This window comes from Homo sapiens, chromosome 17 (genome assembly GCF_000001405.40).
Source record: "Homo sapiens chromosome 17, GRCh38.p14 Primary Assembly".
NCBI classification, from domain to species: Eukaryota; Metazoa; Chordata; class Mammalia; order Primates; family Hominidae; genus Homo; species Homo sapiens.
In genome coordinates, this window is record NC_000017.11 from 1632738 (window position 1) to 1658217 (window position 25480).

The following is a 25480-nucleotide window of genomic DNA, read 5'->3' on the forward strand; positions in this document are numbered from 1 at the left end:
ATCTCAAAAAATAAATAAATAAATAAATATGGACAAAGTTGTATACTATGTCATTGCTTATTGTATCAAAACAGATCAGAACAACCCAACCTTCCATTGGCGGGGGAATGATTTAAATAATTGTGCTAGATGGAATCTCATGTAGTCATTTTTTAAATAAAGAGAGTTAGCTTTACATTTATGGACATTGAACTATATCCAGGATATGTCGTTAAGTAAAAAAGCAAGTTGAGGCTGGCCGCGGTGGCTCACGCTTGTAATCCCAGCACTTCGGGAGACCAAGGCGGGTCAGGAGTTCGAGAACAGCCTGGCCAACATGGTGAAACCCCATCTCTACTAATACAAAAATTAGCTGGGTGTGGTGGCACACACCTGTAATTGCAGCTACTCAGCAGGCTGAGGCAGGAGAATCGCTTGAACCCGGGAGGCAGAGGTTGCAGTGAGCTGAGATTGCACCACTGCACTCCAGCCTGGGCAACAGAGCAAAACTTCGTCTCAAAAAGAAAAAAAAAAAAAAAAAAAGAAGCTGAGGAACAGTATGCTTAGTATGCTAAAATTTTTTGTTTAAAATATTTGTTGACATGTACACAGAAAAACATCTGAAAGAAAGCACCTCAACTGTTGATGAGACTCTCTGAGCACTGAGATAGAAGGGGCTGCCCCTGGCCGGGCGCGGTGGCTCATGCCTATAATCCCAACACTCTGGGAGGCCGAAGCTGTGGAGCCCTTGAGTTTGGGAGTTCAAGACCAGCCTGGCCAACATGGTGAAACCCTGTCTCCACCAAAAAATACAAAAATTAGCCGGGCATGGTGGCGGGCGCTTGTAATCCCAGCCACTCAGGAGGCTGAGGCAGGAGAATCGCTTGAACCGGGGAGACAGAGGTGGCAGTGAGCCGAGATCATACCACTGCACTCCGGCCTGGGTGACAGACTGAGACTCCATCTTAAAAAAAAAAAAAATAAAGCTCGGGGGGAGGGTTGCCCCTTTTCTTTTCTGACTAGGTAATATGTGAGCAAAGAATTCAAACAAGACCAAAAAGCTGCCAGGGAAAAGTAGATTCTACCTCTCTCTTGACCCACAGACGCCTCTGGGGAGAAAGGAAATCTCCGTTTTACTTTATACATGTCTGTAATGTTAGTACTTTTTATTTTTTTAACAAAGATCATTGCTTTTTATTATACTTTATCAAATTCAATCTAGTAACAAAAGTAAAAAAGAATGTTCACTGTAGAAAATTTGCAAACTATACAAAAGTTTCAGAAGAAAATAAATATCACCTACAATCTCATCTTCCAGAGGAAAAAACCATTTAGTGCCTTTCCCTTGAATCTGTTTTTATACACATACATCCTTTTTAAAAAGTTCATAGACCAGGCGTGGTGGCTCATGCCTGTCATCCCAGCACTTTGGGAGGCCGAGGCAGGTGGATCACGAGGTCAGGAGATCGAGACCATCCTGGCTAACATGGTGAAACCCTGTCTCTATTAAATATACAAAAAAATTAGCCAAGCGTGGTGGAGGGCACCTGTAGTCCCAGCTACTCGGGAGGCTGAGGCAGGAGAAGGGCGTGAACCCGGGAGGCAGAGCTTGCAGTGAGCCGAGATCGCACCACTGCACTCCAGCCTGGGGGACAGAGGGAGATTCTGTCTCAAAAAAAAAAAAAAAAATTTGTTTAGCCAATCTTTTATCAGCAAACATGTAGGTTGTTTGCTATTTCAGAAAAATGTTTTGCACGTGAAAGAAAGAATAGCCCTTATGAGGCACACAGGGTCCAGGACAGCAGAGCAAAAGTCCCTGCAGGCAACCCTTCCTGACCCCATCCTACAGGGTCTCTGCCCAGGCCTTCCTGGGCCCCTCCGGGAGCACTGCCAGGGGCCTGGGCCAACTGGCCTGGAAGCCTTGCCTTTTCCCTGTGGAGGCGCAGAGGCTCTGGTTTGTCTGTCCTGGCCCCGGGATCATTTTCCAGCACACAGCACAGTCTAGTCCATCCACTCTCCCCACTCCCCAAATTCAAGGTCATCAGGGTTCTGGTGGCCTGGAGATGGGTACAACATTCTCATACTCAGGTTCCTCCTGCCTTTCCTCTTCAGCCTGCTTCTGGGGATCCTGTTCTGGGGAGCCACAGCCAGAGACTGGCTCCTGGGCTCTCCTTGAACTCTCGGTGCCAGCCCCCAGCCCCCGGACCGCTTCCTCTGGTCTGACTGCCATAGGCCCTGTGGCCCCAGGAAGCCCAGCTTTTGGGGCTGAGTTGGGGCTCTGGCCGACAGAGCCAGAGGCAAGGCCAGGGCTGCCCTTTTTCCGATTCAGGGCCTGGCGCGGAGGCTTAGGGATGGCCCTCTTGACCTTGGCTTCCGCCTGGCCTTTCTGGAAGCTACCAAAATGGCGGAAGACAGAGCGGACAGGGCCTTCGGATCCGCGGGGCTTCCCTGCCAGCATGTAGATCGTGGTCACAGGGCCCGAGCTCTCCTGGACGCTGCCCTCAATGGCTTCCACGTGCTCAGCCACTGTCCGGCCACCAAGTGGGGGCCGCCGGTGGCCAGTGGCTGAATCCCCGGGACTGGCAGCCGCCGGAAAGGACTCGGGGGCTTCTGCTTCCTCTGGGCCTGTGGACTCTTCGGCTTCCCGGCCCTCAGGACCCGACTGCGCCCCCCGGGAGAGCCTCTTGGGCTTTCGGAGCGGGCTGGAGAGCTCCCCTGAGCTTCGGCGACTCTGTGGTGCAAACTTGGTACCTTCCGCGAAGGAGACCGATGGCCGCTTGGCCCGAGCTAGGCTGGAGGTGCGCGGGATGGCGAATGGCGTGGAGGCGTCCTCAGGGGGCGGGAAAGCACCTGCAGCCAGGCTGGCCTCTGACGACCCTGCCTGGGCCACAGGGACCATCCCTGGCAGAGGAGACAGAAGAGCTTGGCTGGAGCTGAACTGGCCACCCCAATGCATCCTACCCACAGCTCAGCATCTTCCAGGAGGCCTCAAAAATAGGGCAAGGAAGAGGGCAAGGATGAGGAGAGTGGCAGAAGGACCAATTCAGGTAGACACTGTTACTTCTACACTTTTTTTTTTTTTAATTGTAGAGATGGGGTCTCACTATGTTGGCCAGGCTGGTATCAAACCCCTGGCCTCAAGCAGTCCTCCCGCCTCAGCCTCCCAAAGTGCTGGGATCACAGGTGTGAGTCACCACACCTGGTCTCTATACTCTTTTCTCACCACCTCTCCCTACTTTGAAATACTGTCACACTCTTACCAAGCTAAAACTCTTTCGATGGCACACAGCCACATCCCTCTCACCTCTGGGCCTTTGTGTATGCTGTTCCATCTTCCTGAAACACCATTCCCTCCTCTCCCTGACTTTCACTTGGCCAACTCCTACTGATTCTGCTAGACTCGACTGGGATGCCACACACATCGTCCCTGACCCCAGTCACCCCAACATGGCTAGCAAATGAGTCCCTACTTGTATGTCCCCCATGGAAACACATATCACTGTGTCCTGTCATTGTCTGATGACTGCCCATCTGACTCTAAGCCTGGTGAGGATAGGAATCTGTCTTGTTATCTCTTGCATGCCCGGAGCCAAGAACAGTGACTAACACAAAATGGGCCCTTAATAACTGTTTGCTGGCCAGGCGCAGTGGCTCATGCCTGTAATCCCAGCACTCTGGGAGGCTGAGGCGGGTGGATCACGATCCTGGCTAACACGGTGAAACCCGGTCTCTACTAAAATATAAAAATTAGCCGTGTGTGGTGGTGCACGCCTGTAATCCCAGCTATTTGGGAGGCTGAGGCAGGGGAATCACTTGAACCCGGGAGGCAGAGGTTGCAGTGAGCTGAGATCGCACCACTGCACTCCAGCCTGGCGACAGAGCAAGACCCAGTCTCAAAAAAAAATAAAAATAAATAACTTTGCTGGAGGACTAAAGAGGGGGTCGTGGTGGGCAGGGCTGCTCAGGGGCTATGTGGGCTGTTGGGGGGCTACCTTCTTGGGGTGGCACACAGTAGGCAGGAACCTCATCTGCCTCTCCAGACTCAGGATCGGATGAGAAGGAGTCATCAGTGGCCCAGCCGGCAGAGGGCGGCTCGATGAAGCTGTGGTTGAAGGGGACCTCCGGGTCGTGATGTGAGACTGTAGAGACTCCAGATCAGGCGCCTGCAGGACCTGATGCAAAGCCCTGTCCAATCCCAGACCCCGGCCCCCAGCGCCCACTGACCTGTCACCCAGGGTAGCTTGTGGGAGCTGAGGGAACGGCAGGGCAGCGTGGAGCCCAAGCTGGTCAGTGTCCCCCAGACCTGCAGCTTCATCCTGGACACGGTAGCTCCATCTCTCGCTGGCCTGAGGGAGGAGGGTAGGGACACTGGTCAGTACATGAGACCCACGGTGACCTGGGTCACCTTGGCAGGGTGTGACAGGGTGACTGCCTCTACTTCAGTGGCTTCAGTGGCTCTCTATTGACTACAGAATAAAATCCAAATGATTGAGCCCACAATTCAGGCCTGCCACAGAACAAAGAGTGGCTCTAGAGTCAGACAGCCGAGTAACAACTCTGGTTCACACTTCACCTCCCTAGGCCTCAGTTTCCGCATCTGTAAAACAGATCCTATCTATCTATCTATCTATCTATCTATCTATCTATCTATCTATATCTATCCATCTATCTATCATCTATCTGAGCTTTTTGCAGGACCTGGCAGGTCTTTGTTATTATCATCCTAGCTGAGCCTCAGCTCACGTTTCTCTCTCTCTCTCTCTCTCTATTTTTGGGACAGAGTCTCGCTTTTGTTGCCCAGGCTGGAGTGCAGTGGTACGATCTTGGCTCACCGCAACCTTCGCCTCCTGGATTCAAGTGATTCTCCTGCCTCAGCCTCCTGAGTAGCTGGGATTACAGGCGTGCACCACCACACCCGGCTAATTTTGTATTTTTAGTAGAGACGGGGTTTCACCATGTTGGCCAGGCTGGTCTTGAACTCCTGACCTCAGGTGATCCACTCACCTTGGCCTCCCAAAGTGCTGGGATTACAGGCGTGAGTCACTGCGCCCGGCGCACCTGTCTCAAATGACACCCCCTCCAGGAAGCCTTCCCTTGTTCCCACTCTGCTCTACCCCCACATGTGGAGGAGACTGCTCTGCTCTTCACTGTTCCTCCAACAGCCTTTGCACCTGTCCTCGTGTCCCTGCGAGGGGCTTCTTCCCACCCTGGGCTCTATGCCCTGGGCCAGGGGCAACTGTATCTGCTCCTCTGTGAATGCCGCACAAGCACAGAGGAGGATGTGCTATTGGACTAGGGCAGGAACTAGTAAGAGAGCACCAGACAAAGAGTCCAAAAAGGTGGAGAGGGGCTTCCTGTGTGCCAGTACCAACTAGATCACCTTGGGCCTCAATGTCCTCTGGGAATTGAGGACATTTATCCTCCCGGCCCCACACTCCCTGTTCCAAACCTCCACGCTGCTGTGAGTCTCAAAGGAGCCTGGAATGTGACGAGGTTTCATAAAGGAACAAAGCTCTGCGTAAGCCCCCTGCGCGGGCCCCACCAGCCCAACCCTTCCTCCCCTCTCCGTCTCTCAGGCAGCTACACTCTCTGCTAAACCACTGCACAGACATTGATGTCTCTTTCCTTCGTGGGCCATCTGAGGCCTGGTCTCTTTCCCTCCTGGCCCAGAGCCGGGCTGCTCCTTCCGTGGTCCCAGCCCTCCTCCTCTGGTCCCCGCCGGTGTCAGCTTTCTGCCTCCCGCTGCAGGCTCCGGTTCGCCAGCCTGGTGCCCATGCAACTCAGAAACTTCCTCATTGAAGGCTTCCGAGGAGGGCAGGCAGCTGACCCGGTGTCTCCAGTGTCTCCAGGCCACGGGCACTGCCAACTACCTCCATCACCTCTGACCTACGTGGGCGACAAGGCCAGCCCTCCCCACCCCCATCACCTCTGACCCACGGGGGCGACAAGGCCAGCCCTCCCCACCCCCATCACCTCTGACCCACGTGGGCAACAAGGCCAGCCCTCCCCACCCCACAAGGAAACCAGATGCCCCCCTGCTCCCACCCTGTGGCCTGAGCTGTGTGGGGAAGGGACGGGCTGGCGTTCACCTGTCCTTGAGGTCTGATCGGGGGGCCCAGCAGCAGCAGGCACAGCAGGCAAGGCCCAGGAAGAGCAGCAGCAGAGGCACAAGGCTGCCCGCGATGAGGGCAGTGTCCCGACTGCCAGAGCCTGGGGGAGCCAGAAACGGGGGATATTCAGGCCTTCCTGTCTCCTACACATCCTGTCTTTGCTCTGAGTTGCCTGCTACCCAGAAGCTTCTTCCTGGGGGTCACTCCCTGCCTCCGGGCAGCCCCTCTGCTGGCGTGTCCCCTCCACAGGTTCTTGCCCCTGAGGCCATGTCAGTGTCCAGCCACCCCGCTGCCCATTTCACGGCTCTAGCCTGGTTTCGCAGGGGCGGGGGCTCTGTCACATCTTCAGGGGGCCCCAGAGCATCCACACAGAGCTCAGGTATAAAGAATGTCTCTGGGCCGGGCACAGTGGCTCACGTCTGTAATCCCAGCACTTTGGGAGGCCGAGGTGGGCAGATCACCTGAGGTCAGGAGCTTGAGACCAGCCTGGCCAACATGGTGAAACCCTGTCTCTACTAAAATATAAAAATTAGCCAGGCATGGAGGCGTGCGCCTGTAATCCCAGCTACTCGAGAGGCTGAGATGGGAGAATGGCTTGAACCTGGGAGGTGGAGGTTGCAGTGAGCTGACATCACACCACTGCACTCTGGCCTGGGTGACAGAGCAAGACCTCGTCTTAAGGGAAAAAAAAAAAAAAAAAAGAATATCTCTGAAGTGGGCCCAGACTCCCTGGTGAGGAACTTGCCCTGGAGCCCATGTGAAGGGCCCGCCTTTCCCTGGCTACTGCACCCCGCAGCCTTCTTCCACCTTACCTGGCTGGCAGGACCCAGAGACAGGGTGGCAGAGTCCCTCTGGGCATTCACAAGGAACTGAGCAGTTGTTTCCATGGAAACCGGCTGGGCAGGAGGCGTTGCAGCTATGGAGTGACATGGAGAGGCAGGCTGAGGGCTGGGTGAAGTGGGGGAGGCAGGCAGGAGACGGGCAGGGAGATTTCTGGGCACTGTCCAGGGAAGTTCAGGAAATGCTGCACAGAGCCCTGACCTAGGCCCCTGGCACTCTCCCGCCCCCGGGATCCCCATCCTTACCTGGGCCCCCAGTAGCCGGCACTGCAGACACAGTCCCCTGTCACAGTATCACAGGACCCCTGAACACAGGTGGGGCAGGTAGAGCCACAGTCTTCCCCAAAGGTACCAGTGGGGCAGGGGTCTTCACACCTGGGGTGAGGCAAGACTCGGGGAAGGGGAGACCAAGGCAGGCCTGGCCCCCACTGTGGGGCCCCACCCCTCCGCCCCACGCTCCTGGACTCAAGGACCCAACTGGCCACTCCTCAGCAGTGAAGCTCAGGTGCAAATAGGGCCTTGAACTTGGGGCCAAATCCAGCAGGTGACAGACTACAAGTCCCCAGAGGGCGAGGAGGGCAGGAAGCCTCAGAGGGGAGGGAGCTGGGATCCTGCCCAGGCCCCCCCAGAACCCACTGCTCTCCCCCAGTCTTCAACAGGAGGGAGGCCCCTGGGGCCGCATGAACCTGTGTGTCGGGGAGGGTGGTGCTCTCGGAGAGAGCCGCTGAGCTGAGGGTCCTGGGGGAAGGTGTACCCCACCCTGAACAGAATGGTGCCCTCACCTGGGCCCCAGCCAGCCAGGGTCACAGCGCTGACAGTGGCCAGTATCTGGCTCACAGGCCTCCCCATGTCGGCAGTGAGGGCACTGCTGTTCGCAGCTCTCGCCAAAGGTGCCAGGCAGGCAGGGCTGCTGGCACTGGGTCCCGTTCCAGCCCGGCTCGCAGGACTCACAGCTGCCTGTGTCTGGAGAGCACGGCTCATTGTGTTTGCAGCGGCCACAGCTGGGAAGAGAAGGGCTTCGTGGGAACAGTGGGGGTGGATGGATGGAGCGCCCACCCCCTCCTACCCCTGTACTCCACGCAGGCCTTCGGGGGCCCTGGAGAGTGTTCGGGTCCCACCTGGGTCAGGCAGGTTTGAGCCTCAGTTTCCCCACGTTGTACAATGAGGACAAATGAGGGCTCTTACAGGATCCCATCCCTTTCCTTCCAGGCATCTGCTCTGTGACCGTCTTTCCCTGGGTCCCAGGACCATCAGGAGCCAGCAGCCCAGCCAGGGCAGGCGAGTCACCACCAAGCTCTGAGTCCCATTTGCGAGGTCTGCCAGGCCTTCCCTCCTGCTCTTTTCACTTTTCCTTTTTCCACACTGAGCCGTCCCCAGGTCTGGCATGAATGGGACTCAGTAGTGTCTTCTACCCCATCACACGAAATGCAAAAAATGTAAAGTGTTTTCACCCAGGGGTCCTCAAACCCTGGGCCATGGACTGGTACTAGTCCGTGGCATGTTAGGAACTGGGCGACAGCGTAGAGATGACCAGCAGGGGAGCCTGACCGCCTGAGCTCCGCTGCCAGCCAGATCAGTGGTGGCCTCAGATTCTCATAGGAGCGCCAGTCCTATTGTGAACTGCGCACGGGAGGGTCCAGGTTCCATGCTCTTTACGAGGATCTAATGCCTGATGATCTGTCACTGTCTCCCATCACCCCCAGATGGGACCCTCGAGCTGCGGGAAAGCAAGCTCAGGGCTCCCACTGATTCTATATTATGGTGAGTCATATTATTATTTCATTATAGATTACAGTGTAATAATAGAAAAATTGTCTGCCATGAAACCAGTCCCTGGTGCCAAAAGGTTGGAGACCACTGTTGTCACCAATATAATTTCACATTTGCCATATCTTAATTTCCCATTGATGCCTAATAGTTACCTGAAGTTTCTCCCTCAGATGCTTAACTAGCTGGGATCATATACTTGGGTCAGACCCATTAGTAGGGGAGAAGAAGGGCAGTTTATAAAAGCCATTTAGCTGATCCTGACCAGCATTTTTATTTCTTATTTTATTTTATTATTATTTTCTTCAAGACTGAGTCTCACTCTGTCGCCCAGGCTGGCGTGCAGTGGCGCGATCTTGGCTCACTGCAACCTCCGCCTCCCGGGTTCAAGTGATTCTCCTGCCTCAGCCTCCCAAGTAGCTGGGATTACAGGCGCCCAACACCATGCCCGGCTAATTTTTGTATTTTTAGTAGAGACGAGGTTTCACCATGTTAGCCAGGCTGGTCTCGAACTCCTGACCTCAGGTGATCCGCCCGCCTCGGCCTCTCAAAGTGCTGGGATTACAGGCGTGAGCCACCGCGCCCAGCCAGGGATGAAATTTCTTACTGTGAGTGCAGCCAGTCAAAGTTTGAAAGCCACTGAGCCCTAAAGGGACCTTGCTCAGGACCCTTGGTCACTCGATCCACTTATTTATTATTTTTTTTGTAAGAAACCATTTTTTTAATTTTCTTTTTTTAAATATATTTATATATATTTTTTTATTATTATACTTTAAGTTTTAGGGTACATGTGCACATTGTGCAGGTTAGTTACATACGTATACATGTGCCATGTTGGTGTGCTGCACCCACTAGCTCGTCATCTAGCATTAAGTATATCTGCCAATGCTATCCCTCCCCCCTCCCCCCACCCCACAACAGTCCCCAGAGTGTGATATTCCCCTTCCTGTGTCCATGTGATTCCATTGTTCAACTCCCACCTATGAGTGAGAATATGCGGTGTTTGGTTTTTTGTTCTCGCGATAGTTTACTGAGAATGATGATTTCCAATTTCTTCCATGTCCCTACAAAGGACATGAACTCATCATTTTTTATGGCTGCATAGTATTCCATGGTGTATATGTGCCACATTTTCTTAACCCAGTCTATCATTGTTGGACTCGATCCACTTATTACCTACATATGGCTTGCTAGCAGTGCTAGTATATTTTGCACAGCAGTAATCAATGAAATGAGCAGGTGAGGCTGGACCTGGGGCAACAAAGCGTTTTTAAAAGTTTTTGTTTTGTTTTGTTTGAGACGGAGTCTTGCTCTCTGGCCCAGGCTGGAGTGCAGTGGTGCGACCTCGGCTCACTGCAACCTCCGCCTCCAGGGCTCAAGCGATTCTCCTGTCTCAGCCTACCGAATACCTGGGACTACAGGCGCAGCCCGGCTAATTTTTGTGTTTTTAGTAGAGACGAGGTTTCAGCATGTTGGCCAGGATGGTCTCGAACTCCTGACCTCAGGTGATGCACCCGCCTCAGCCTCCCAAAGTGCTGGGATTACAGGTGTGAGCCACCCCACCTATCCGACTTTTCCCCTTTCTCGTTCCTCTGCTTTGTATGTTTTTTGAGAGGAGCACCGCGAAGCCCTGACCCCTCCTCCCGGCGCCCCGCCGCGGCCACCTGTCTCCGCTCCGCCCCGCCCGCTCACAGGTCTCCGCGCAGCCTCGCTCACCTGTGTCCGCCTCCGCCCCCTCCCCCGACCGCTCACCTGTGCCCGCCCCGCCCCCACCCTGCCCGCTCACCAGTTTCCACCCCGCCCCCTCCCCGCCCACCGGTGTCCGCCCCGCCCACCGGTGCCCGCCCCGCCCACCGGTGTCCGCCCCGCCCACCGGTGTCCGCCCCGCCCACCTGTCTTCGCCCCGCCCCCTGTCTCCGCCCCGCCCCCCTGTCTCCGCCCCGCCCCGCCTGCTCACTTGTGTCCGCCCCCGCCCCGCCAGCCCACCTGTCCCCGCCCCGCCCGCTCACCTGTGTGCGCACTGCACCCCGTGGCTGCCTGCCGGGCAGGGCAGCTCGCAGCGCGCTCCGCGGAAGCCGGGCGGGCAGGTGCACTCGCCGGAGGCGGCGCTGCAGCGGCCCCGCACACACTCGCACTGCTGCTGGCATTCGGGACCCCACCAGCCCGGCCGGCAGGCGCAGCGGCCGGAGTCCTGCTCGCACGGGGAGCCGTGGCAGTTGCAGCGGAAGCTGCAGCGGCGCCCCCACCAGCCCGGCTTGCACACGCAGGCGCCCGTGGCCTGCTCGCAGCGCGCCGCCGCGGTGTTGCACTGGCACGGGCGGCGGCACGTGGACGACCACCAGCCGGGTTCGCAGTGGCACACGCCGGTCGCGGGGTCGCAGCGCCCGTGGGGGCCGCAGGCGCACGGGAACTCGCAGCGGGCTCCCCAGCGGTCGGCCTGGCACTGGCACGCGCCCGTGGCTGGCTCGCACTGGCCGTGCGGGTGGCAGGGGCAGCTCTCACGGCAGTCGGGGCCCCAGTACTGGCCCGGGCAGCCTGCGGGGGTGGGGACGGGAGGGGTCAGCGGGCTCAGGGCCGCGCGCAGACCCTTACCCTGCGTCCCCTTCCTCAAGGAAAAGGGGCGCTGGGCCCATCCTCCAAGAGCCGGGGACAGACCCTCAGAACATCCGGCAGCCTGTCCTGGGCAACACTCACTTCCTGCTCCGCTCTGACCTACAGAAAACCCTTAGCCATTAGTGGGAGGCTCAGCCTGCCACTTCACATTCCAGAACACACTCAGAGATCCTGAGTGGGCAGGGGACTTGCCCAGAGCGTGGCACCGAGGTTGGTGGGCCTTCCTCCATGCCTGCTCCTCCCTGCCGAGATGGATCTCTGCTGGGCTGGAGGAGAGCTGGCTTTCTCCTGATCTCAGGCCTGGATACTGCCCGCCAGGGTGTCGGGAGAAGCCACCTTTCCCCTAGTGATTCCTTGATTCCTGATGCCCACCCTCTGGCTCTCCTGCTTCCCAACCCCTTTCCCTTCCCTCTCTTTCTGCCAGAGAGGGCAGAGAGCCCAGCCAGGGGCCCCCTTCCATCCACTGCCCATGTATAAGGTATATGTGGGAAAGGCAAGTAATACACTCATTTTACAATGAAGGGGAATCACAGGTTTTCTGAGAAGTGGAAGAGGAAGATGCTCAGGTGGGCAGTGCTTTGTGGATGTGGGTAAAAACCCGGTGACTCAGGTCATCTCCCGGGAGTGTGTGTCACTTCCTGTCTCTGGACCGCAATTCCTCAGTGAAGCTGGGGGGGATTCTGGCCCTGCTGTCCTGAGGCTGCATGGCTACCTGCCTCGCCTGCTCCCACACCACTGCCCCCGTACCCAGCTCTGCCCAGCAACTTCATCTGGCCCTTGAGACTCACGGGAGCTGCAGTGGGCCCCAAAGAATCCAGGCTTGCATCGACAGAGGCCCGGCTTCACACACACCTCGTCTTTCTGGCAGGCGTCCGGCCCCTCACAGATGGCTGAAAGACACCCCACCCAGGTTGGAAAGACGGGAGCAGGACCAGGGGACACCCCTGCCCTCTCACTGGCTCCAGGGGCCATGCCTCCTCAAGAGGTGCCCCTTCAGGCCTGGGGGTGCGTCACAGGAGAAACCCTGACTCCTGGTATCAGGAGGGGCAGGCCCCATGGGGTAGGAAGGAAGGGTTGTCACTGGGCTACGGCCTCCCTTCTCCTTGGCTGAGGGTCTGTCCTGGCTACTCACGGATGGTGCATTCTTGATCCTTCTGCCTCCAGCCTGCGCAGCACTGCAGCTCAGCAGAGGGGCTGTGGGGCAAAAAGGGGTCAGCCGGACATGGTGGGGGGTGCAGCCTGGCCCTGAGGAAGGTGGATCACTGTCTCTGGCTGCAGTGGGGGAGGCTGCCTTAGCCCCCTGGGGAGGCCTAATGGATCTTTACAGCTAGGGTCCCCAGCCCCTCCCCTCTCCTTCCCTGACCCTTCCACCATCTGCCCTGGCTGGCCACTACCTGCCAGACCGCCATCAGCAGTCCCTTCCTTTCAGCCTAAGCCCCCTTCCTAGTCTCCTCCTTCCCCTAACGGCCTCAACACCGGTTCAGCCACCCGCATCAGACTCCCACGAGACCCACCTGCTGGCCACACGCATCAGACTCCCACGAGACCCACCTGCTGGCCACACAGACGTGCTGCCCTTTGGGGTCCAGCTCGGACCCCTGAGTCCCCCGAGTCCAGAGCAGCAGCAGCGGGAGCAGCAGCCCCAGCCCCATGGCAGGCAGCTCGGTGGGAGCGCTCGGGTTCGTCTGGCCCCCACAGCTCCCAACCCCCTCCCTGCTTCCTCTCAGGGCTTTTCCTGAGGAAACCAGGCCGGAGGGGCGGGCTGCCACGAGGCACCTCCCTGAGAGGGAGGGGGTGGCTGGAAAGACTGACACTCAAAAAAAGAAAGGGAAAGAAAGGCAATGGCAGGGCTGACTGGCCTGGGCCTGGAAGGGCCAGAAGAATGAAGTTGCAGGTCCCTGGGTGCCGGGGCCAGGGAAGGGGGTGGACTGAGGCTGGGAGCCACGGCTTTCCATCAGGCCACACTCCCAAAGCAAGGCCTGAGCTGCAAGAAGCCACCCCACCCAGTGACTGAGCAAGGAGACCAGCGAGGACCCCTCAGCCTGCCTCTGCTCCTGGCAGGGTTGGGAGGTGGCACAGACATGGACAGACAGGCGAGGAACAGTTTCTGTGTATTACGGGCAGTTCTTTATTACATGAGCTCAGGCCGTCTGCACAAAGCCCTGGGAGCTAGGCAGTCAGCTCTCATTTCATGGATGGGGAAACTGAGACTCAGAGAGGCACTCTTATATCTGGCCCCAGAGGCTCGGTACAGAGACGTAGAGAGGGAGGCGGGCTGAGACCCCGTCCTGCCCTGATGCAGGCCAGGATTGGGGCAGACCCCTGGCGAGGGCTGTGAAGGCGGGAGCCCTGTCCTCATTTGAGGCCACACATCCTTCCACAGCCAGACCCCTAAGTCAGGCCTCTGGGGCGGCTGAGGCCCCCAGACAAAGGTGTTCGTGGAGGGCAGAACAGGGCGGATCAGGAGCTGGAGACTGTGGTTGGGCCTCCTCTTCTCCCCCTAGCTTGCTGGGTGCAGGGCTGCTGGTCTCATCCTCAGAGGATTCAGCTTTACCCCGATACCATAGGCCAAAGCTGGAGAGAGACAGCCAGAGGCACTTTGAGCCAGGAAGCCAGAGAGGTCAAGGATATGGGTGAGGGCAGGGGATGGTGAGAAAAGGGGAGAGGGGGAAGAAAGGGCAGCCTGAGGGAGTGTGAAGGTGATGGGGGCCAGGGCCAGAGAAGCAGGAGGGGACGGTGTGCTTAGAGCCAAGCACAGCAGGGTGACGGGCAGAGAAGCGGGAAAGGGGATCCTGAGAAGGACCAGCCAGGGCCCTTCCTCCCTCCCCACACTCTTGCCTTTCCCCTTTCCCCAACATACAAACTCTGTATTTTGGACTCCGGGGGTGGGGGATGGTCTCCCTTGTCATCGGAGAGCAGGATCCATGGGCCAGCCTCATCCTCACTGAGACAGAGGAGAGAGGAGAAGTGAGGGCCATTGATCAAGGCCCTGAGGGACAACAGGAATCCAGCAGGGGGGATGGAGGGACTGCAGGGCCCCCGGGGCTGGAGAGAAGGCAACCCTGGGGAGATGCAGGATGTCGAGCCTTTAATTTTTAATTTTTTTTTTTTTGAGACAGGGTCTCACTCTGTCGCCCAGGCTGGAGTGCAGTGGTGCGATCTCAGCTCACTGCAACCTCCGCCTCCCAAGTTCAAGCGATTCTCCTGCCGCAGCCTCCTGAGTAGCTGGGATTATAGGCACATGCCACCATGCCCGGCTAATTTTTGTATTTTTAGTAGAGACGGAGTTTCACCATGTTGGCCACGCTGGTCTCGAACTCCTGACCTCAGGTGATCTACCCACCTTAGCCTCTCAAAGTGCTGGGATTACAGGCGTGAGCCACCGCGCCCTGCCAAGGGTTTATTTTATAGCTTGACACACAGCAGGCCCTGACACAGCCGCGGCTACAGTTTCACCCCCGTAAGAATAAACAGACCCAGCCAAGACAGGAACTTGAAGAATGAATGTGGAGAGGCAGTGTTGTCAGGCAGAATGGATGGCAGGCAAGGCAAGGGGAGTGGTGAGATCCAGGGAGAAGGGCGCAGGCTGGACAGCGGCCATGGGACACAGCCAGAGCAGGTCAGCAGGCCCTAGAAGCGGCCAGGCTAGGGAGGCTCAAGGGGTGACCGGGTTGGGGTGACAGCCTCAGTCTGAGACAATGGGCTCAGAGGGTGACCAGGCTGGGTCATCAGGCTCAGCAGAATGAGGGAGGGAGGCCTGGCTCCGTGGGAATGCAGGCAGGGACCTACCTGCTCTCTGCTTCCTCTGGTGTCCCTAACATCTTGGCCTTGATCTTCTTCCGCTGCTTCCGGACAGCCACCTTCATGGCCTCGAGCAGAAGGCCGGGGACCCGGTGGTCTGTGAGCAGCTCCCTAAAGAAAAGGGGCAGGGAGGGAGAAAGCCCTGGTGATGCCAGCCATGGGGATGCCAGCAGTGGAGATGCCAGCCGCAGTCCTCACTCCTGGTACCTGTGCACGCAGCTCTTCCCTGAACACGGGAAGCGCTCTGCCTTGCTGACACCCTCAGACCTTAAATTAGGTGGCCCCGTGGCCCCCTCCTAGGAGAGATTCCCTGGCTGCTGCAGCTGCAACCCTTTGTACTGTCCCTCTCCCCTGTCTGGATGACATTGCAGGAGGGCAAGGGCTGTACAATTCATGTCCTCCCAGTTCCCAGCGCAGGCCTGGCACATGTCACTGTGGACATGTCAATGACTGGAGAATGAGGTGGGGTGATCGGAGGCCCCCCGGCTTCCCAGCGTCCTCACCGCTGGAAGTAGGCCAGTTCCTCCTTGAGCAGGAACACTTTGGCTTTGAGTTCATTCCGCTCCTGAAGGATCTGCTCAAACTCCTCCCGACTGAAGCGGCACTGCCCTGCCTCCGAGGGGCGCCCGAGCTGCTGCGCGGCCTCCGCCTTTGGAAGGACAGGCACAGTCAGAGGGTCGCCTCGGCTGGCGTTCCCCCGCCCCAGGGCCATCATGGGAATGCTAGAGGAAGTGACGGGCCGGGAGACTTGGGGGACAAGGGTGCCCTAACAGATAACAGAGCAGTGCTCCAGCTGAGAGCGGGGGCCGAGGCCGGCCGGGGGCGCAGATCTGTCTGCCACCTCCCCGCTTCCTGGCCGACCTGCTGTGCAGCATGCAAACCTTGCTTGAGTGCCCACCGAGGGCTGGACGCTGCGTCCTGGGCTGGGTCCTTGCCCTCATACGGCACTCACCGGGTCCTCAGGGTTCCCTGGGGCGCCTGCGCCGGCGGTCGCCCATTCGGGCTCCTGTCCGTGCTGGTGCCCGGGCCGCCCGGCCTGCCCCCGCGCTCGCTCTTTAGCCTGCGGAGTCGCGGCTTCGCCAGGCTGCTGGCGCTCCCTCTCGCGGTCCTGCGCGGCGCGCAGCTGGGTCTGCATGGCCGCCAGCTTGTGCCGCAGCTCAGCGTTCACCAGCAGGAGGCGCTGCAGCTGCTCCTGCAACTGGGAGCGGAGCAAAGGGTGGGGTGGGCGGGGCACCGAGGGCCCCCCGGAGCCCCGCCCAGCGCCTGCCTCGCTCCGCCCCCGCCCCCGGAGCCCCGCCCAGCGCCTGCCACGCTCCGCCCCCGCCCCGCCCCAGAGCCCCGCCCCGCCCTCACCGCCTCGGTCTCCTGGCCGCGCTGCCGCAGGTCGCGGTTGTGCGCCCGGAGTTCGTCCCGCTGTCGGTCCGTGACCTCCTTGAGCTGCCGCAGCAGCGCGCGCTCCTCTGAGGAAGGGGCGTTCTTAGCGGCGGCGGCGCGCGGCCCGCGGGAGGGAGGGGAGGACCCGAGCAGGTCGTCACCCGCCCTGCCCTGGCCGGGGCTGCGCTTACCCTGTGGCCCCGCGCGCAGCTCCCTGCGGAGGCGCTCGTTCTCCTCCCGCAGCCGCCGCAGCTCCTGCTCCGCCGGCTGCGCCGACACCTGCAGCTGGGGAGACCCGGGTCTCAGGCTTCGGCCCTGCCGGCCCCGTGGGTGGCGAAGGGAGGGCCATGACTCACCGAGTCCGGGGCGGGCCCCACGGCAGCCTGTTCCAAGAGCTCCAGCGCCCGCACCACTAGCGGCACCAGCCCGGCCGCCGCCTCCGGCCCGAAACGGCGCGCCAGATCCTGCAGCTCAGTGCCCAGGGCCCCGGCTAGATGGTACACAAGCTCCGCGGCCGATGCCGACCCCGCGGCCTCCCGAGACCCCCAGCCAGGCACCCCGGGCGCCGCCCTCCTGGGCTCCATGTCTCCCAGAGGCTTAGGGCTGCGACCCCCCCACCCCACCCTCCACTGGGACGGGGAAAAGCGAAACAGTTCCGCCCCAGGAAGCCGTTTAGGGCGGTGTGGGCGGGGTAGAAGCGATAAGGGTAGGGAGGAACGAGGAAGGGAGAAGGCGTGGGGTAGGGAGATAGTGCCCTAGGTCGCCTGGGCTCTGTCCTTTCCACCCCCAAGGTCACAGGAAACAAGACAGCCAACTTCCAGCCAGGCGTCCAAGAGCTGAGGTTCAGGGCTGCAAGTGGTCACTTGAGTGGAGCCCTCCCCACAGGCCCAATCCAGGCTCCGCCCGTTTGGAGTCATGGGGCCAACTTGGCAGTGGCCCGCTCCAGGCGAGAGGTGACAGGTAGGCAGCCGGTCTCTGGCCTCCGCCCGGCTGTACACAAACTGCCTGCCTGTGTGCTTGTTTTCCTGACCAGGACTGACACAGAAAGCTTAAAGGGCTGGGCTGGACACCGCAGCCGCTCAGCACAAGCCACAGAGTTCCTAGACCCGGGAAAGGGCAACTGCTCCCAAAACTGTGGAAAGGAGGCGAGAGCTTCCAAGTAGTTTTGTGGAAAAAGCAGCAAATGTGGTCAAGGCAGCGGAGTGTGAAAGCCCAGCCCTGCCTCAGGTCTCCACTGAGTCCAGGGGCTATCTACCCCAAAGCCCTGAATAGGAAGGGGGCCTCATACTCCCCCCTTCACAGCCGAGCCCAGCATCTTGCTGTGAACCGCTCCAGTCCAGCCTCCTGTTAGACCTAAATCCAGAATTTGAGTTTGGGGGGGAAAAAAAAAACAAACCAGCCCCTGAACTCCTATTTATACAAAATTTATTATTATATTTTATTCAGGATGACAAGCCATCAGGAGGTCAACAACACAAGCACAGACAGAGGGAAAGAGGCCAAACTGCTGAATGTCAGCGGCCTGTCTGGAGGGGCTGAGGCTTCGGCCTCGGGAGGCTGAAGCAGGAGGCAGGGAAACGGTCAGGCATACAGGTCCTCCCGATCCGCAGAGTAAACCTCCCCCTCCTGCAGGAGAGCAAAGTTGAGGAAGTGAGAGGGCCTGTGCACCTCGTGGTAGAACTCTTTGGGGTTCGCCAGCTGTAGCTCATATTTCATGTTGGGGTCATGCCGAACACCTTCGGGGAGAAGGAAACAGCCAATGTTAACAGGGCTCCTGCCTCATGCAGCCTGCGCCACCTCCAAGCCAGCCAGGCCCCAAGTGCAAAGGGCGATGGCCTCACCTTATCCCTACTGCTATCCCCACATCCCCAGGCTCCTCCCACTTACCCATGAAGTTGTAGTTCCACGAGGACTGGGCAGGGACCATGAAGAAGCCAAGGAAACGGTCCGACAGCAGCATCTGCACCCTCTCATAGTGTGAAGGCAGGTAGCCCTTGGGGTTGTTGCCCTTGTCTGTGTTCTGGCGGCCCCATTCGTAGCCACTGGGGGTCAGCTTGTAGGCCGTCAGTGTACAGGAGCCTGGCGTGAAGCTGGGGGAGGAACGAGGACAGAGTAACAGCTCAGGCCACTGTTCTGGGCCCTGGCCTGCAATCCCTGCCCCACCATACTTCCTCCCAAGGAGCCCAGGCCCACCTGCATGTGATGATAATGGTCTTCTCGCCATCCCAAGATGGGTTGTCAGCCATGATCTTGGCATGGGTGGTGACATCCTGGGGTGATAACTGCGGGGACTCATTGGGCTGAGTGTGGATCCAACCTAAGGGTTCCATCTCCTATAGGTAAAGAGGAGTACAGAGCTGAATCCCATCCACAGACAGGAATCGCACCAGCTTTTCCACACTCCCAGGCTCCATCACTCCCCATTACCTTGAGGTACTCATGCTGGGGCAGCTGGCCAGGCAGGTGCACGGTCTGGTGAGTGCCCCACTGCGGCACCATCACAATGCAGCGGATCTCCTTCACCTGGGGGTTATCTGGTGGGCTCACCCCATATAGGTATCCTGCAATCTGGAGACAAAGGGGTCAGGAACCAAAACTCTTCTTAGTACCAGGTCAGAGTTGGAGCTGCCAGCCCTCTGTTTCCTTCCTTCCCCCAAGAACGAGGACAGAGTTTCTTAAAACGTGATCAGAACCCCCTGTATCAGAATCAGCTGGGGTGCTTGTTCAAAATGTTAGACATGGACCTCATCGCGGACTTACCACATCAGAATCTCCTGAGTGGGGTCCAGGAATCTGCACTGCTCACAAGCTCCCCAGCTGATTATTAAGCATAGTATTCACAAGCAAATGAGCACACATGCAGCTCAGTGTATTTTCACAAGCTGAAAACATCTGGAAAACCAGCACTTGGTGCTATTTTAAGTTTTACATTATCACCAAGAAAGAAAGAGGATCTGTTTACTATAAACTCACCCACACAGGATATTAACAATCTTTTCAAATTTGCCAACCTGACAGCCACTAAATAGTGGGTTTGAGATGGAGTCTCACTCTGTCAGCAAGGCTGGAGTGCAGTGGTGTGATCTCAGCTCACTGCGACCTCCGCCTCCTGGGTTCAAGCAATTCTCCTGCCTCAGCTTCCTGAGTAGCTGGGACTACAGGCACATGCCACCATGCCCCGCTAATTTTCATATATTTAAGAGAGACGGGGTTTCGCCACGTTGGCCAAGCTGGTCTTGAACTCCTGACCTCAAGTGATTCACCCACCTTGGCCCAAAATGATGTTTTATAAACTATAATATCCCTGATACACTAGTAAAGTTATGCATCTTTTCTCTTTTTTGAAGCAGGGTATCACTCTGTCACCCAGGCTAGCAGGCAGTGACATGATCTCAGCTCACTACACTCACCACCCTCCAGGATCAGGTGATCCTCCCACCTCAGCCTCCTGAGTAGCTGAGATTACAGGTGTATGCCACCATGCCTGGCTAGTTTTTTTTTTTTTTTTTTGTAGAGACTCCATTTCGTCATGTTGCCCAGGCTGGTCTCGAACTCCTGGGCTCAAAAGATCTGCCCACCTCGGCCTCCCACAGTGCTGGGATTACAGTCATGAGCCACTGTGCCCAGCCTGGAGTGCAGTGGGGTCATCAAAGCTCACTGCTTGCGTTCAAGCAACCTCATCCTCCTGAGTAGCTGGGACTACAGCCACGTTTTTTTTGGTTTTGTTTTTTTAGACGGGGTCTTGCTCTGTTGCCCAGGCTGGAGTGCAGTGATGCAATCTTGGCTCACTGCAAGCTCCACCTCACCTCCCGGGTTCAAGCAATTCTCCTGTCTCAACCTCCCTAGTAGCTGCAACTACGGGCGCATGCCACCATGCCTGGCTAATTTTTTGTATTTTTAGTAGAGACAGGGTTTCACCATATTGGTCAGGCTGGTCTCAAACCCCTGACCTCAGGTGATCCACCCACCTAGGCCTCCCAAAGTGCTGGGATTATAGGCATTAGCCACTGTGCCCAGCCGAGTGTTGGGATTACAGGCATGAGCCAGCACGCACACCTGGTCAGGAATTTGTTTCTGACCATATCTGTTCTCTTCCAAATACTATCAGGCCAATACTACAATTACTACCTTCTCTCAGCTGCCACAGCTTTTGCTATCTCATGGGGCCAAAACCCACCTCGTTGTTTTGGCTATCCTTGTATAATTACTCATCCATGAATCTTGAAACCAGCATCTCAAGTTCCAGACAATCTCAGGTCTGAGTTTTAGGCACAAAATGAGTTGGGCACACACTGTGGCCTAGCTGAGTCCACTTACTCACTTGGGCCCGAAGGTCAGATATGCAGATGAACTTCTTAAGCACATTCTTGGGAAGGATGTAGGTGTAGCCAGTCTCCTTGATGTCGTCAGATGAAACATAGATGTGATTGGTCCTTAGGTGCAGGTTGGCAGCAGAGATGGCCCTAAAAACAGGCAGGGAGTGTCAGCATCGCTCAGCCCAGCACCTTAGGTAGTGCAGCCGGCCTTTCCATCCCCACCCTCTTGCCCGACAGTACCTGACCCTCCACTCAGTCTTGGATGAGAAAGTCTGGGTCTCATAGTTGCTGGTGGTGGAGGTGATGATCTCATCGCCATGCTTGTTGACAGTGCGAGTCTGTGTTGCCGTCAGCTGCGATTGTTCCTTGGTCTGCTTCTCGATCTCAGCGATCTGCTGCCGCTGCTGTGACGGTGCCGAGATCTCCATACCCAGGATGATGTCTCGAATTTCTGATTGTGTCAGTGATGCCACGTTCACACTGTGGGGATGGTGTGGGTTATATTACAAGGATCCCTTCCCCTTGGTCACTTCTGCCTCAATGGAAAGGGTGTAACTTGGTAGGACAGGACAGCCTATACTCACGCCCCAGACAATCCACAAGAGCTGCTTCTACAGGAAGTGTGAAACGGAGGTGCACTAACACTTCCAAGATTCGTCAGATCCAAGCGGGACAGCACACTGCGTGTGCACCTTCCCACTGTTTAGCATCCATAAACCCTACGCTTCCTTGACCAAAACAATGCTCTGGCATGGAACTGTTCTCAGAAATGGAAACCCCAGAAACCCTAGAATACTGGTTCTTAATCAGAGGTGGTATTGTCCGTCACCCTATGGATAATTTTGGTTGCCACGATGACAGGGAGGGAGACGAGGGGAGGAAGGTGTGTGTGTGTGTTGGCAGCAGTCTCGGATACTTAGGGTCTCGGATGTTCAAAATTCTTCCCATGTATGGACAGTAAAGAAATGCCCTGTTTGAAATGGCAACAGTGAGAAACAATGGCCAAGAGTCAGACTGAAGCCCTAAAACAGGGATGCTTCCCATACTATTCGAAGACACTGCTGTATCTCTCTTCCTCGAGACTCTGTAAGATAATTTCTTTCCTTGTTTTCAAGACAAGAGTCTCGCTCTGTTACCCAGGCTGGAGTACAGTGGCATCATCATGGCTCACTGCAGCCTCAAACCCCCGGGCTCAAGCAAGCCTCCTGCCTCAGCCTCCAAGAAGCTGGGACTACAAGCGTGTACCACCACACCTGTTTTAAATTTTTTTTTTTTGGTAGAGATGGCGTCAGTCTCTTGTTGATCAGGCTGGTTTCAACTCCTGGCTCATGCAATCCTCCCACCTTGGCCTCCCAAAGTGCTGGTATTACTAGCATGAGCACTCAAGCCTGGCTAAGACAAGATAATTTCTTGAGAAACGTCTTTTTTTTTTTTTTTTTTGGAGACAGTCTCACTCTTGTCGCCCAGGCTGGAGTGCAGTGGCATGATCTCGGCTCACTGCAACCTCTGCCCCCAGGTTCAAGCAATTCTCCTGCCTCAGCCTCCCGAGTAGCTGGGATTACAGGTAGGCGCCATCGCACCCGGCTAACTTTTGTATTTTTAGTAGAGACGGAGTTTCACCACGTTGGCCAGGATGGTTTCAAACTCCTGACCTCAAATGATCTACCCACCTTGGCCTCCCAAAGTGCTGGGATTACAGGCATGAGCCACCGCGCCTGGCCTTCTTGAGAAACTTCTAAGCCTAAGTGCTTCCAAAAAACCCCAGAAAACCGTATATAGACCTCCTGTCTGTGTCCCCACCAGCACTGCTCACTTGTTTTTCTTGCCGTAGTCAGCCAAGATCAGATCCTTGAGCTGCACCTCGACCTTGATCCATTCTTCGTCAGTCAGAGTGGGCCAGATGTGGTGTGGTTCTGTAATAGTAGTCTTGTCTGGCTTCAGGATCACTTTTGCCCGATCGTTGTTCACATGTAGGGCACGCAGAATCAGGATGAGACGGGAGAAGGCCTGGGAAAAGATTTGGAAGAGTGGGGTAGGTCAGCTGCTTGAGGCTCTCCCACTTTAATCCTAACCTTTCATGAAACCCAAGAATTTTTTTTTTTTCTTTTGAGACAGAGTCTTGCTCTGTCGCCCAGGCTGGAGTGCAGTGGCATGATCTCGGCTCACTGCAAGCTCCGCCTCCCAGGTTCATACCATTCTCCTGCCTCAGCCTCCCGAATAGCTGGGATGACAGGCACCTGCCACCACGCCCGGCTAATTTTTTGTATTTTTAGTAGAGATGGGGTTTCACTGTGTTAGCCAGGATGGTCTCAATCTCCTGACCTCGTGATCCGCCGCCTCGGCCTCCCAAAGTGCTGGGATTACAGGCGTGAGCCACTGCGCCCGGCCTTTTTTTTTTTTTTTTTAGACAGTCTTACTCTGTCGCCCAGGCTGGAGTGCAATGGTGCCATCTCGGCTCACTGCAACCTCTGCCTCCTGGGTTCCAGTGATTCTGGTGCCTCAGCCTCCCGAGTAGCTGGGACTACAGGTGCATCCCAGCACACTCGGCTAATTTTGTTGTATTTTTAGTAGAGATGGGGTCTCGTCATGTTGGCCAGCCTGATCTCAAACTCCTGACCTCAGGTGATTCACCCAACTCAGCCTCCCAAAGTGCTGGGATTACGGGCGTGAGCCACCACGCCCGGCCCCAAGAGTTGATTTTTAACTTTAAGGTCTTAAACTCTCATGAAAGTCAACAGAGTTCCCACCCAATCTATAGGCTAAAAATGTGAAAATGGCAAAAACCTGACACAGGATCTTCTCCTAACCCTAAACCCGCTCCTCCTCCAGCGATCTTCTCTTCCCGAGGTTCATACCGTGTAAGATGAAATAGTCTTGAGCCAGTCGTCATAGAGGTTGAAGAGAACCATCTGGGGCTCAGTGGCTTTAAGGATGAGATCCCCGAATTTTTCCACCTTGAGACACGCCTGGAAAGGGAGTTGGAGCTCCGATCCTTTGATGACAATATTGGGGAAGTCCAGTAAGTGCACCTAAGACAAGATCAAGTCCAAGATGAGAAACAGCCTGAAGGTCTCAAGGTCTCTTTTCTCCTACCCCACCCCACCCTCTTACCTCCAGTGGGTCCAGCATGCCCTTCCTGGTGACAATGATCTGCTTGGGCTGCTCCTCCACAGGCAGAGATCGGATCAGGGCGGCCACCTCCTCAGCTGTCTTCCACTTAGCCAACTTAAAAGCAAGAGAGAAGAAAATGGAAATTTAGTCTCTACCCTCCCAGATCAACTAGAACAGAATATCCTAGTTTTGAAATAATCCAACTACGTTTCTATTGAACACTGATGTTAAATGTTAGGCACTTAGAAGGTACAAAGAGTATCAAATGGCCGTGTCCAATGACCAGGCTGACAGCCCCTTTCAACAAGACAATACCACAAGCTGACACATGAGTATGTGCTAAACTATACACTGTTTTACAGAGTTCAGGAACAAAAGAAATTAAGGCTACTAGGATCAGAAAAAAGCTGCACAAAAAAACGTGTCTTAAGGAGGGACTGTGATTAACAGAGCAAAGAGGGGAGTTCATTCTAGAAAGAAAAATACAAGCAAAACACAGATTTGGAGATGAGCATCAGGGGTTTGGGCTACTAAGATCCTGGACTGAATGTAAGATGAAACATGCTATAAATGTAAAGGAAGAGAAACTGGCTGGACAGATACAGCCCAGCCAGATGTTGAACGTCTAGGAAGCTAAAGAAGAGTTAATTCAGCAAGAGTTGTGAGGTAGAGAAGAGATTTGGTCAAAGTGGATGTTTCAAGAATATGCGTTGCTGGGCCGGGCACGGTGGCTCAAGCCTGTAATCCCAGCACTTTGAGAGGCCAAGGCGGGCGGATCACGAGGTCAGGAGATTGAGACCATCCTGGCCAACATGGTGAAACCCCGTCTCTACTAAAAATACAAAAAATTTAGCCGGGCGTGGTGGCGGGCACCTGTAGTCCCAGCTACTCGGGAGGCTGAGGCAGGAGAATGGCGTGAACCTGGGAGGCGGAGCTTGCAGTGAGCTGAAATCAGGCCACTGCATTCCAGCCTGGGCAACAGAGCAAGACTCCGTCTCAAAAAAAAAAAAAAAAAAAGAGAATATGCATTGCTGGCCAGGAGCAGTGGCTCACACCTGTAATCCGAGCACTTTGGGAGGCAGAGGCAGAGGCAGGCAGATCACAAAGTCAGGAGATCGAGACCATCCTGGCTAACACGTTGAAACCCTGTCTCTACTAAAAAATACAAAAAAAATTAGCCAGGCGTGGTGGCGGGCGCCTGTAGTCCCAGCTACTCGGGAGGCTAAGGCAGGAGAATGGCGTGAACCCGGGAGGCGGAGCTTGCAGTGAACCGAGATTGAGCCACTGTGCTCCAGCCTGGGCCACACAGCGAGACTCCGGCTAAAAAAAAAAAAAAAAAAAAAGAGTATGCGTTGCCTTTGGAAAAATGATTTTTGATAGCCCTGTTCAAGGTTAGAAATTCAGGAAACAGACCAGCTGGAAGGGAACGAAGCACCTCATACACTCTTGGACCTCCCACAGAATACTTCCCAAGGTATTTTGGGGATAAGTTCAAATGAGATGTTCTCAGCCTTTCATCTAATAAACCAGTAAATATTACCAAGTCCACCCCAAGAATAAGAGGCAACAT

At 56.2% G+C, this 25480-nt stretch overlaps 3 protein-coding genes across 7 annotated transcripts in view, besides 2 other annotated features; all 3 read right to left on the reverse strand.

The window, feature by feature from the left end:
- Nucleotides 1-1120: 1120 nt before the first annotated feature.
- SCARF1 (scavenger receptor class F member 1) lies at nt 1121-12995 on the reverse strand. Of its 4 annotated transcripts, none has more exons than NR_028075.3 (11): nt 12860-12995; nt 12441-12502; nt 12097-12198; nt 10705-11230; nt 7711-7929; nt 7175-7233; nt 6902-7005; nt 6069-6189; nt 4204-4325; nt 3972-4118; nt 1121-2880 (listed from the first exon to the last, which is right to left on the reverse strand). NR_028075.3 is itself a non-coding variant. In NM_145350.3 (11 exons), exons 1-11 carry the CDS (start codon nt 12958-12960, stop codon nt 2767-2769), a joined length of 1710 nt encoding a protein of 569 aa, NP_663325.1. In that variant the 5' UTR covers nt 12961-12995; the 3' UTR covers nt 1121-2766. The 4 variants fall into 4 exon arrangements, 2 of the variants coding, with proteins under 2 accessions (NP_663325.1, NP_003684.2); NR_102409.2 differs by having other exon boundaries at nt 7175-7303; nt 12823-12995; NM_145350.3 differs by having other exon boundaries at nt 3972-4081; nt 7175-7303.
- On the reverse strand, nt 13413-17129 carry RILP (Rab interacting lysosomal protein). Its single transcript, NM_031430.3, has 8 exons — nt 16840-17129; nt 16675-16768; nt 16463-16569; nt 16062-16307; nt 15613-15758; nt 15098-15220; nt 14169-14252; nt 13413-13882 (listed from the first exon to the last, which is right to left on the reverse strand). The coding sequence occupies exons 1-8, from the start codon at nt 17065-17067 to the stop codon at nt 13705-13707; spliced, it is 1206 nt and encodes a 401-aa protein (NP_113618.2). The 5' UTR covers nt 17068-17129; the 3' UTR covers nt 13413-13704.
- Nucleotides 16438-16732: a silencer, noted in NCBI's record as "tiled region #224; HepG2 Repressive DNase unmatched - State 1:Tss, and K562 Repressive non-DNase unmatched - State 1:Tss". NCBI's record gives its function as "represses a minimal TATA promoter and a strong SV40 promoter by Sharpr-MPRA in HepG2 and K562 cells {active_cell/tissue: HepG2 | K562}" and the evidence as "EXISTENCE:reporter gene assay evidence [ECO:0000049][PMID:27701403]".
- The window catches only part of PRPF8 (pre-mRNA processing factor 8), a 34239-nt gene continuing 26650 nt past the window's right edge, over nt 17892-25480 (reverse strand). For both annotated transcript variants that reach the window (XM_024450537.2, NM_006445.4), the window contains exons 35-43: nt 23911-24024; nt 23655-23828; nt 22613-22806; nt 21040-21279; nt 20805-20946; nt 18911-19051; nt 18677-18816; nt 18371-18573; nt 17892-18219 (exon numbers count right to left, since the gene is read on the reverse strand). In XM_024450537.2, coding sequence (XP_024306305.1) covers nt 18065-18219; nt 18371-18573; nt 18677-18816; nt 18911-19051; nt 20805-20946; nt 21040-21279; nt 22613-22806; nt 23655-23828; nt 23911-24024 — 1503 coding nt within the window. In that variant the 3' untranslated portion in view covers nt 17892-18064. The remainder of the gene's footprint in view (nt 18220-18370; nt 18574-18676; nt 18817-18910; nt 19052-20804; nt 20947-21039; nt 21280-22612; nt 22807-23654; nt 23829-23910; nt 24025-25480) is intronic.
- Nucleotides 18366-18876: an enhancer, noted in NCBI's record as "H3K4me1 hESC enhancer chr17:1554397-1554907 (GRCh37/hg19 assembly coordinates)". NCBI's record gives its function as "activates a minimal SCP1, AML or CMV promoter by ChIP-STARR-seq in naive H9 embryonic stem cells {active_cell/tissue: H9 hESC(naive)}" and the evidence as "EXISTENCE:reporter gene assay evidence [ECO:0000049][PMID:30033119]".